The sequence below is a fragment of the Homo sapiens genome, chromosome 17 (genome assembly GCF_000001405.40).
Source record: "Homo sapiens chromosome 17, GRCh38.p14 Primary Assembly".
NCBI lineage: Eukaryota > Metazoa > Chordata > Mammalia > Primates > Hominidae > Homo > Homo sapiens.
The window spans coordinates 60322860-60335212 of NC_000017.11; the positions used below are offsets into that span (position 1 = coordinate 60322860).

Here is a 12353-nt window from a genome sequence, read left to right on the forward strand (position 1 = left end):
TAAATATTTTCATTTCAGATTTACTAGTCCATTTGATCAAGAAATTTGAACATCTGGAGATCAGGAAAATGCAAATCAAAACCACAATGAGACACAACTTCATACCCACTAGGACAGCTATAATAAAAAACACAGATTAATTAAACTCCAAGGATATAGGGAAATTGGAACCCACATATACTATTGGTAGAAATGTAAAATGGGCAGCCACTTTGGAAAATAGTCTGGCAGTTCCTCAAAAAGTTAAATGAAGAGTTCCATATGACCCAGAAATTCCATGCAAGGTATATATCCAAAGAAATGGAAATATATATCCACGCAAAGGTATACAAATGTTCACAGCAGCATTATTTATAATAACAAAAAAGTGGAAATAACCCAAATATTCATTAACTGATGAAATAAACAAAATGTTATATATATATGCATACAATGAAATATTATTCAACAATAAAAAGGAATAAAGGACTGATACATGTTTTCAAGATTCATCTAAGAGGCCAATCACAGAAAATCATGATTTCATTTATATGAAATTACTAGAATAGTGAAATCTATATAGACAGAAAGTAGATTAGTATATTAGTTGGCCAAAGGCTGTGAGAGGAGAGGATGAAGAAAACAGGGATGACTGTTAAAGTAAGGTTTCTTTTTGGGGAGATGAAACTGTGGTAATGGGTACACAACTCTATGAACATAGTAAAAGCCACTGAATTGTATACTTTAAATGTGTGAATAGTGTGACATGTAAATTATAGCTCAATAAAAGCTTTTAAGAAAAACAAAACACTATTTCTTTTAAAGCAAAGAACTGGTGTATGTAACAAAGTTGGTTAAACACACTTTGCTGAATACTGCTCCTATAAGGCTTTTTATATCTCACCTAAAATTTCTGAAAGTCAAATATAACAAGAAAGAAGGAAGACTGGAAAAGTAGTTCAAGATAAACCTTCATGTGAAGTATTATATGCTTTACTGTTTTCTAAAAAGCGTCAAAACATCTCTACAGCTTCTGCCATTTGGAAATTAAGAAATTCTTCTTCAAAGATGGAATACTAGTAAAGTTGCCACCCATGCATAAAATAGCTTAAGCAATCAGCAGTGCAAACTATAAAATGATTTTTTAAAAGCATAAACCAGGCCAGGTGCAGTAGCTCATGCCTGTAAAACCAGCACTTTGGAAGGCCAAGGTAAGAAGATTGCTTGAGGCCAGGAGTTCAAGACCAACCTGGGCAACACAGTGAGACCTTGTCTCTACAAAAACATTTTTAAAAGTTAGCTGGGCATGGTGGTGCACTTGTGGTCCCAGCTACTTGGGAGGCTAAAGCGGGAAGATTGGTTGAACCCAGGAGTTCGAGGTTGCAATCAGCTATGATTGCACCACTGCACTCCACCCTGGGTGACACAGCAAGACCGTGTTTCAAATATATATATATATATATATTTTAATTAAAAACTATTTTTAAAACTAACCAGATTCTAGAAAAAAGTGAAAACACATTTTCAAAAATGCTACTAACTTGATTCGAAAAAGACTATCTCAGTGTCTTCCACATGAGGCAGGAGAAGAAACCAATTCTTAAACCTCATTTCCCCTACCCCTGAGATCAATGGGTTCCTATAGATAGAATTTTATATTTATATTTTCCCATTGTTATTAATGGTAATTAACAACATGTAAATGGTATGGTTAAAAGTCACCCTCATTTCACCTTTGATACTTTATCTTTTCTTTGTTTCAATGCATTGATACCTTATCTTGATGTCTCACATTACTTCAACAGAAATAAAAAATACATTTTGAAAAGCAATGTAAAAAATTAAACTTTGTCTCAGAAAATTATACTAAAAAACTGTTATAGGCCAGGCATGGTGGCTCACATCTGTAATCCCAGCATTTTGGGAGGCTGAGGCCCACAGATTATCTGAGGTCGGGAGTTCGAGACCAGCCTGACCAACACGGAGAAAACCCCCTCTCTACTAAAAATACAAAATTAGCCAGGTGTGGTGGCGCATGCCTGTAATCCCAGCTACTCAGGAGGCTGAGGCAGGAAAATGGCTTGAACCAAGGAGGCAGAATTTGCGGTGAGCCGAGATCATGCCATTGCACCCCAGTCTGGGCAACAAGAGCGAAACTCCATCTCAAAAAAAACAAAAAACTGTTGGAAGGTTTAAAATGATTTAGCTACAGGTGTTATGAAAACTAAGCATAGGAAAAAATAAGGCAATTTTTAAAACAAGGAAAAACAAAATATTGAATAAGAAAGAAACCTAGCTGCCACGGTGGCTCACACTTGTAATCCCAGCATTTTGGGAGCCTGAGGAGGGCAGATCACTTGAAGTCAGCAGTTCGAGAATAGCCTGGCCAACATGGTGAAACCCTGTCTCTACAAAAAATACAAAAATTACCCAGGTGTGGCAGTGTGCACCTGTAATCCCAGCTACTTGGAAGGCTGAGGTGGGAGGGAGAATCTCTTGAACCTGGGAGGCAGAGGTTGCAGTGAGCCAAGGTTGTGCCACTGCACTTCAGCCTGGGTGACAGCGCAAGACCCTGTCTCAAAATACAAAAAAAAGAGAAAAAGAAAGAAAACTATATCATAGTACACTATGTTGCAAGGAATATTTACATAGTCATAATATTGTAAATAACACTGATTTAACCAAAAATTGTGATATAATTTCACTGGATTTTGTCAGGGAGGGATGTAAGAAAGTTAAATACGTATCTCTTCTACAAATGCAAAGCAAAAGATAAGTTTAAAATTATTTTAAAATAACAGTAAAGGGCCAGGCGCGGTGGCTCACACCTATAACCCCAGCACTTTTGGAAGTTGAGGCTGGCAGATCGCTTGAGCCCAGCAGTTCAACACCAGCCTGGGCAACACAGCAAAACCCTGTCTCTACAAAAAAATACAAAAATTAGCCAGGCATTTGTGGCACATGTCTGTAGTCCCAGCTACTTGGGAGGCTGAGGCAGGAAGATTGCTTGAGCCCAGGAGGCAGAAGTTGCAGTGAGTTGAGATCCCACCATTGCACTCCAGCCTAGGTGATTGCAGTGAGTTGAGATTAAGTCATTGGACTTTAGCCTGGGTGACAGAGTAAGACTCTGTCTCAAAAAAAAAAAAAAAAAAAAAGTAAAAATATTTAGAACTAAATGGTGGTATGTACCAGAAGCAACTACTAGAAACTGGTTGCTTCTGGAACCCTGATAAAATTGAGCTAGGTAAGGATAGGAACTCTTGTTTTCACTAACTCTTTTTTTATTCTATTTTAACTATGTGCATATGTCACTTTGATAAAATAAGTAAATAAGTAAGATTTACTTGCAAAACAGGTGATGCATTTCCTACTGATACATAGATTCATCATAAATCAAAGATTGCATTTCATCACACCCTCTGCCCTAGTAACCTGATTTCGGGTCCTTATTTGACACCATGGTTTGTTTTCTTTTTTTTTTTTCCTTTTGAGACAGAGTTTCGCTCTCGTCGCCCCGGCTCGAGTGGAATGGCGCAATCTCGGCTCACTGCAACCTCCGCCTCCTAGGTTCAAGCGATTCTCCTGCCTCAGCCTCGCAAGTAGCTGGGATTACAGGCACCGACAACCATGCTCGGCTAATTTTTGTATTTTTGGTAGGGACTGTTGGCCAGGCTGGTCTTGAACTCCTAACCTTGGGTGATCCACCCACCTTGGCCTCCCAAAGTGCTGGGATTAAAGGCATGAGCCACTGTGCCCGGCCATGGTTTATTTTCTCATTCTACTGGGACTTAATACTTATAGCAGCAGCACATGGAATTTGTGGATCTCAGTATGAGACACTCTGTAAGATGTTTCTTTCTTTTAGATTCCCTTAGAGAATCACCAAAGGAAAATTCATGCACAGAGTATAAAATATTCCCCCCAAAGAGACTTACTAAGTTTTATGAAAATAAAACTAGTTATTTCCACAAGATGTTCTGAGTTATATTTATATAGATTACTATCCTGCCAAGTTATTTTATTGTTAAAAAATAAACACTTCATGAAAGGTAAACAGTTCTCAGTCTTACGTAGATGCTAAAAAAGTTGATCTCATAGAAGTAGAGAGTAGAATAGTGGTTACTAGAGGCGAGGAAAGGGAGGGGGAGGAAGTGATAGCTGAAAGTTGGTTATGTATAGAAAAGTACAGCCAGATAGGAGGGAAAAGTTGTAGCATGCTACAGCACTATAGGGTGACTATAATTAACAACAATTGGTTGTATATTTTCAAATAGCTAGACGACCAGATTTTTTAATGTTCCCAACACAAAGAAATGACAAATGTTTGAGATGATGGATATGCTAATGGCCATGTGTAATGGCCTATTTGACATTATATACACGTATCTAAACATCACACTGATGGCAACGGCGAGCCTTCTGGAGTGGCCGCTGACGTCACGCCAGCTGCAGCAGGGAGACACAGGCAGTGGTGGCAGGATTGGCTTCAAGAGCAGCAATAGTGGCAGTGGGTCCCCTGTGCTCCACGTCACCGAAGCAGCCCATGGCACAGCTGTCAATGTGGGTTGGTGGGGGGCGGGGGGGAGGCGGAGCTGGGCCTGGGGCGGTGCCCCACTCCACAAAGGCAGCGGGACCCAGGGACAAGCGGGGCCCGCCCACCCCACCCCACCTCAGGAGCCAGGCTGAGCCCGCCCGCCAGCAGAAGAGCAGCACGGTTGGGCAGGAGGGGCAGGCAGAGAGGGGCCCAGCGAGGACATGGAGCCCCCACACCAGGCTGCAAGGAGATGCGGCCAGGGCTGCCGACATGCTCCAGGCAGTGAGCGAAAGCCCCGCCCTCTCAGATGCAGGACCTGGACATCTCTGGATTCTGCACCCTCAGGGGTCCGGGGAAGTCCCCCTGCCCCTGCAGGCTCAGGAATGTCTGCTCCTGCTGCCTGGCCTCTCCCGACTCCCAGCCCCTGCTCCAATCTTGGAGCAGGGCTGAAGCCAAGCCAGGTAACTGTCACAGCCCGGCCAGGTATGTGGACACTCAGGGCGGTGCTGACGTGCTAGCTGCCTGCCACCTCAGCCCGCTTTGGACTTTGGGCACCAAAAAGCAAGATGGGGGAATCAAGGGGAGATTAGTGCAGCTCGGTGCTGGCCTGCAGGTGCCCCTTGGCAGGAGCAGCCTGGGAGCCATGGATGGCGGCAGGCAGCAGACAGGCTCCTGGGCAGAAGGGGGCAGGTCCCCACTGAGGCCCCACCTTCCGGGCCAGGGAGGGCCTGAAGGCTGGGGGCCAGGCTGCTAGTCCTGTGGACTGGAGTGGGAACTTGTGGTGCCTTTTCCAGGCACAGCAATCCATAGACCAATCAGTGCATACTTCCTCCCCTCTGAGGCCCATAAAAGCCCCAGGATCAGCCAGAGCTGTACAGATGATGGAACAACCAGCTGCAGGGAGGAATTACCTTCTCTGCTGAGAGCTGGACAGATGATGGGACCACCAGGTGCAGAGAGGAGCTACCCTCTCTGCTGAGAGCTGGACCGAGGATGGGATGACCAGCTGAAGAGAAAAGCTACCCCTTCTGCTGAGAGCTGAACACTCTTCAGGATACCCTGGCTACAGAGAGGAGCTGCCCACTGCAGGTCTCCTCTAAGCTGTTCTATTGCTCAATAAAGCTCCTCTTCATCTTCCTCACCCTCCATCTGCATACCTCATTCTTCCTGGGTGCAGGACAAAAGCTTGGGATCCACTAAATGGCAAGGCTAAAAGAGCTATAACATAAACAGAGCTGAAACATTCTTGCCACATTGTGGGCAAAGAGAAGGAGAGAAGAGCTGCAGCCCTTCCAGAAGGCCAGACCTGGGAGCTCCCTGAGCCAGGGCTATGAGTCCCTCTTTGGGGCCCTGCGGTTCCTGATGTCTCCAAGCTTCCAGACGCCATCACACTCCCCGGGAGCAGCCAGAGAAGCTGCTTGAAGTGCACCTGGTCCAGCTGCAGCCTTGCAGGAAGGCAACGCCCATGCCAGCACCTGGAGCTACCTGCTCTGTGGCAGCAGCCAGTGTGTCTTGACTGCACACTGGCTGTACCCCACTCTAGCTCACACACCCCTCCCCAGCTCCACGCCTGACTCACGCAGTCTCCCTTGGAGGCATGAGATCCAGGCTGGTAGTGTGAGCCTGCCAGGCCAAGTGGATGGAAAAAGCCCAGCGGGCCCAGACAAAGGCGCCACCAGCCACACGTTTCTGGCCAGAAAGGAGACACCCTAAAGATGCTGTAACAACACTGTACTCCATAAATATGTATAATTATTAAGTAAATTAATATAACAAAAGAAAAAGGAAACTGTTTATTCGTAAAAAGAAAGTGTTAAATAATACTTCCAGAAAAAAACAAAAAGATGTTAGTTGCTCCATCTTCTTGGTATATTTTATTGTTTTTGCCTGACAATGTGTGTGTGTGTTTTTTTTTTCATGTAAGAATTGTCCTAAGAGTTCCAGAGGGGTCTTAGGATAGGACTGTGTCAGATAATATATCCCACAGAATTGTTGACTATTATATGCTAGGTATGAGCCCAGACCATAAAATGTTTATAGAACATGAGAATCAGAAAGTTACTAATACTCTGCTTAAATTTATTATCATTATAATTTGTTTTTATTTATTTTTTTTTTTTGAGATGAGGTCTCACTATGTTGCCCAGGCTGGCCTTGAACTCCTGGCCTCAAGCATTCCTCCCACTTCAGCCTCCCAAAGTGCTAGGATACAGGCATAAGCCACCATGCCCAGCCTCTTCTTAAATTTATAGAATAGAACACTCCTTATTACTTTTCTCCCTTCCTCAACTCTTAAAAGCAAAGGAGCCTTTTCTATGCAAAATATCTAGAATACCTCAGAATATTACCTACTTATATCTGACAGACTGTCAGACCAATAACTAATTCTAGGACTGATTCCACAAACCAGATTACCACTCTGCCTTAGGCAACTTCATGCTGCCAACACATAGAATACCAACTCCTGCGACTCAGTCTCCTTTTCTTGCCTCTGAACATACCTTGTCTATTTAGGTCTATTTAAATACACAACTACAAGAGATACTCAGAGCATAAGCAGTATTACTAGAGATCAATGAGGTAAGTTATTCGTATGCCCTTGCAATTAGCTTCACACTGGTTTAAAATAATTAAATAATTTCTTTGAAGTTCTGGGTTGTAACTCCCTTTCCACTCACTAGCTTCCTTTAAAGCAATATTTGTCCCTACTCAATAGCTGATCTATTCCTAACCCAAGGAAGAAACTGAATCCTCCTCAGGTCCGCTGGTGCCCAAAAATGCCTATTAAAGCTTCTGGTTCAATTACTAGGTTTCAAGTCAAAATTGCTCTCTTTAAAATTAGTAGCTCTGAATTTTGCCTATTGAGACTTCCTGAGTAGCTTTTTTCTTTGCTGTTCTACGCTTTTCATCCATGATCTTAAAATTGGCCTCCTTGTCCTCACAAGTGGCTCCTCCTGTCTGTCCTTATTCTACTTTATTATCCATATTTTTCATGGAAGTGAATTATCCTGGATCTTCTATTCTCAGTAATCTCATTCTGGAGTCTCCTTGCTTTAACTTAGATTTCTTTCTTTTCTTTTCTTCCTTCCTTCCTTCTTTCTTTTCTTTTCCTTTCCTTTTTCTTTCTCTCTTTCTCTCTCTCTCTCCCCCCCTCCCTCCTTTCTCTCTTTCTCTCTCTCTCTCTTTTTTTTAAAGACAGGTTCTCACTCTGTCACCCAGGTCGGAGTGCAGTGGTGCAATCATGGTTCACTGTAGCCTCAACCTCCCAGGCTTAATCAATCCTCCAGCCTCAGCCTCCCGAGTAGCTGGGACTACAGACACATATCATCACACCTGGCTAATATTTGTATTTTTTGTAGAGATGGGGTCTCGCTGTGTTGGCCAGGCTGGAGATTTTCTAAAAGCTTAGTTAAACCCAAATATAACTTCATATCATAAGGAAAAGACAGAGTTCCAAATTTATCACTGGGCATTTCTTCTTTTCACTATCCCAACTTTCCCAGCCTAACCCAGCCCTCACCCTTCTCCCCTCCATTCCAGGCAAGTTTCCAAGTCAATGGTAGAACATCACAAGTTAACTGTACTTGTAACTTTTCCAATTTCACTCAAGCTAGTCATATACCTAAATTCCTACAATTCTGATCAAAGTTTTGGAAGTTCTTTTGTCTCAGAACTTAAGTGACTAGGAAAAGATCATTAAGTAAATAATAAAGTTCAACCAAAATACAAATGCCCTAACAAAGATAGAAAAGGAAATGATAGTTCTGTCCAATAGTCAACTTTTATATTCCAGGCTCACTTTCCTAAATAGTGTTAAGTATTCTTCCTGAAAAACCCAAAAAGTATATTTAATTTAACATTTTACCAACTTTTGTGAAACAACTGAAGTACAATAAAACTGCATATACTTAGACTGGGTGTGGTGACTCACACCTGTAATCCCAGCACTTTGGGAGGCCAAGGCAGGCGGACTGCTTGAGTCCAGGAGTTCAAGACCAGCCTGGGGAACATGGCAAAACCCTATCTCTACAAAAAAATACAAGTTAGCCAGGCATAGTGGCATGCACTTGTAGTCCCAGCTTCTCAGGAGGCTGAGGCTGGAGGATCACTTGAGCCTGGGGAGGTCAATGCTGCAGTGAGCTGTGATCATGCCACTGTACTCCAGCCTGGCCACCAGAGTAAGACCCCATCTCAAAAAAAAATAAAATAAACTTTAATATTAAAAAATCTGCACACATTTAAAGTATACAATTGAGGTCAGGCACAGTGGCTCACACCTGTAAACCTAGCACTTTGGGAGGCCAAGGTGGGAGGATTGCTTGAGTCCAGGAGTTCAAGACCAGCCTGGGGAACACAGCAAAACAAAAAAATACAAGTTAGCCAGGCATAGTGGCATGCACTTGTAGTCCCAGCTTCTCAGGAGGCTGAGGCTGGAGGATCACTTGAGCTTGGGGAGGTCAACGCTGCAGTGAGCTGTGATCATGCCACTGTACTCCAGCCTGGCCACCAGAGTAAGACCCCATCTCAAAAAAAAATAAAATAAACTTTAATATTAAAAAATCTGCACACATTTAAAGTATACAATTGAGGTCAGGCACAGTGGCTCACACCTGTAAACCTAGCACTTTGGGAGGCCAAGGTGGGAGGATTGCTTGAGCTCAGGAGTTCAAGATCAGTTTTGGCAACATAGCGAAACCCCATCTCTACAAAACAAAAATAAAATAAAATACAAAAAATTAGCTGGGCATGGTGGTGCATGCCTGTAGTCCCAGATACTCGGGAGGCTGAGGCACGAGACTCGCTTGAACCTGGGAGGTGGAGGTTGAGGTGAGCAGAGATCACGCCACTCCAGCCTGGGTGACAGAGCGAGATGCTGTCTCAAGAAAGAAAAAAGTGTACAGTCAATCGGTTTTGTCATGCATATATACCAATCACTAAACACAATGAAGAAAACAAAAACCAAACATTTCTATCGCCTCAAAAGTTTACTCTGGGCCGGACGCGGTGGCTCAAGCCTGTAATCCCAGCACTTTGGGAGGCTGAGGCGGGTGGATCACCTGAGGTCAGGAGTTTGAGACCAGCCTGGCCAACATAGTGAAACCACGACTCTACTAAAAATAAAAAAATTAGCTGGGCGTGGTGGTGGGCGCCTGTGATCCCAGCTACTCGGGAAGCTGAAGCAGGAGAATCGCTTGAACCCAGGAGGCGGAGACTGCAGTGAGCCAAGATCATGCCATTGCACTCCAGCCTGGGCAACAAGAGAGAAACTCTGTCTTAAAAAAAAAGTTTACTCTGCCCCTATATAACCTATGCTTTCCCTTTTCTCCTGCACCAATATCGGCACCCAGTCTCCAGGCAAGCTTCCTTTCACAATAGATTAGTTTGCATTTCCTGGAATTTTATATGAATGTAATCTTAAACATGCATGCTATTTTTTCCTGGCTTAATTTATTCAGCATAATGCTTCTGAGATTCATTCATGTTGTTGCATATACCAATAGAGCTTCCTTTTTATCACTGAATCATCTAATAAAATTTTACAAAGAAGTAAAAAGAAAATCCTCATTGTGAAAACATCTTACTCTATGTATAGTACACAGAACTTACATTTTCAAGATATTTCTATTTTGAAAGAGAGAATGTCAAAGAAAGACTACTCAATGAAAAAAAATTACTGGTATCATAATCTTTAAGGAAAAATAAAAACAAATTAAAGACTTCAATTACAGTTGACCCTTGAACAACACAGAAGCTGGGGCACAACTCCCCGCAAGGTTGAAAATCTGAGTATAACTTTGGACTCCAGAAAAGCTTTACTAATAGCCTGACAATCACAAGCCTTACCAAAAACATAAACAGTTGATAACACATATTATATGCCTTCCACAGTGTATTCTTACAATAAAGTAAGCAGAGAAGAAAAATGTTATTAAGAAAATCATAAAGGCAGGGCATGATGGCTCATGCCTGTAATCCCAGCACTTTGGGACTCAAGGCAGGCAGATCACTTGAGGTCAGGAGTTTGAGACCAGCCTGGCCAACATGGTGAAACCCCCATCTCTACTACAAATACAAAAATTAGCCGGGCATGGTGGCATGCTCCTGTAGTCCCAGCTACTTGGGACACTAAGGCAGGAGAGTCACTTGAACCCGGGAGGTGGAGGTTACAGTGAGCCAAGATTGTGCCACTGCACTCCACCTGGGTGACAGACTGAGACTCCATCTCAAAAACAAAAAATAAATAAATAAAGGTAAGAAAGAAAGAAGGAAGAAAGAAAGGGAGGGAGAGAAGGGAAGGAGGGAGGGAGGGAAAGAAAAGAGAGGAGAGGAGAGGGGAGGGGGAAGAAGAGGAGAGGGAAGTAAAAGGAAAGGAAAGAAAATCGTAAAGAAGAGAAAATACATTTTCAGTACTGTACTGTTTTTATCATAAGTTTATGTCATCTGTTTACAGCAAGAATCATCTGTCTGAAGTGGCAGGCAACCACAGCTGCAGACCTCAATCTACTTTACGTATCAAACAATTCAATTTTTTCCTATAATGTCATGATTTTCTCTGCTTCTTGGGAACACTTCCAGGATCACAAGTGGCACTTGATATGGGTCACATGGTGTTATTCAAGGTTTAGGGTACTGCACTAAACACAATAAAAAATATGTGAGAAACACAAGAGATCACTTTTACTGTAATATGCCATTTACTGGAAAGATGAAGTGCTCATATGGAGATGATTAGCACCTCGAATACTTACAGTACTTGAGTTTACTGTAAAAAAGCAACAAGAGGTGGCCATGCAATTACTATAGTATTATAATATATATTACAGTTAATTTTATGCAGTTATGGTTTAATATTGCATTTTCTGTTTGCATTTTTCTGGACTGCAAATGAGGCCATGTACGATCTGTGTTTGTATGCATAAGGTTTGATAAATTTTAACTTTTAATAATAGATGTATAAATTTTATGGTAGTACCTGATAAAATAAACTAGTATCTACTTGTATTTTATGCATTCACAACATATCTCTCTCAATTTTTTGATGTTTCTAAGCCATGCGGCTCATCTGTGGCTTTTTCAAATTGTTGCAAATCTCCAAAAATTTTTCCAATATATTCATTGAAAAAAATCTGTGTATAAGTGAAACCTCGTCTCTACTAAAAATACAAAAAATTAGCCGGGCGTGGTTGCAGGCGCCTGTAGTCCCAGCTACTTGGGAGGCTGAGGCAGGAGAATGGCCTGAACCCGGGAGGCGGAGCTTGCAGTGAGCCGAGATCGCGCCACTGCACTCCAGCCTGGGCAACAAAGCGAGACTCCGTCTCAAAAAAAAAGAAAAGAAAAGAAACATAAACAGTTGATAACACATATTATATGCCTTCCACAGTGTATTCTGTGTATAAGTAGACCTGCGCTATTCAAATCCATATTGTTCAAGGGTCAACTGTGTCTAGCTTTAGCAGCTCAATATATATACAGAGATGGGGTTTCACCATGTTGGTCAGACTGGTCTCAAACTCCTGACCTCGTGATCCACCTGCCTCGGCCTCCCAAAGTGCTGGGATTACAGGCGTGAGCCACCGCGCCCAGCCACGTTTTTTTATTTAACAGTTGCTGATGTTTCTTGTTATTTTTTAAGAGACAGGGTCTCTATTGCCCAGGCTGGAGTGCAGTGGCATGATCACTGCAGCCTCAATCTCCCAGCCTCAAGTGATCCTCCCATCTTAGCTTCCCAAGTAGCTGAGACTACAGGCGTGCAAGACACCCAGCTAATTTTTTTTATTTTTTGTAGAGAGGAGGTCTCACTATGTTGTCAGGGCTGGTCTTAAACTCCTGGGCTCAAGCA

General features: G+C 42.7%; 1 protein-coding gene across 8 annotated transcripts in view, besides 2 other annotated features; it reads right to left on the reverse strand.

The window, feature by feature from the left end:
* The window catches only part of USP32 (ubiquitin specific peptidase 32), a 245090-nt gene that overhangs the window by 145533 nt on the left and 87204 nt on the right, over positions 1-12353 (reverse strand). The gene's annotated exons all lie outside the window — the stretch shown is intronic.
* Positions 2487-2640: a silencer, noted in NCBI's record as "fragment chr17:58402707-58402860 (GRCh37/hg19 assembly coordinates)". NCBI's record gives its function as "represses an EF-1alpha promoter that drives an FKBP-Casp9 reporter gene in an ReSE screen in phorbol 12-myristate 13-acetate-treated (for megakaryocytic differentiation) K562 erythroleukemia cells {active_cell/tissue: K562(+PMA)}" and the evidence as "EXISTENCE:reporter gene assay evidence [ECO:0000049][PMID:32094911]".
* Positions 4797-5643: an enhancer, noted in NCBI's record as "H3K27ac-H3K4me1 hESC enhancer chr17:58405017-58405863 (GRCh37/hg19 assembly coordinates)". NCBI's record gives its function as "activates a minimal SCP1, AML or CMV promoter by ChIP-STARR-seq in naive H9 embryonic stem cells {active_cell/tissue: H9 hESC(naive)}" and the evidence as "EXISTENCE:reporter gene assay evidence [ECO:0000049][PMID:30033119]".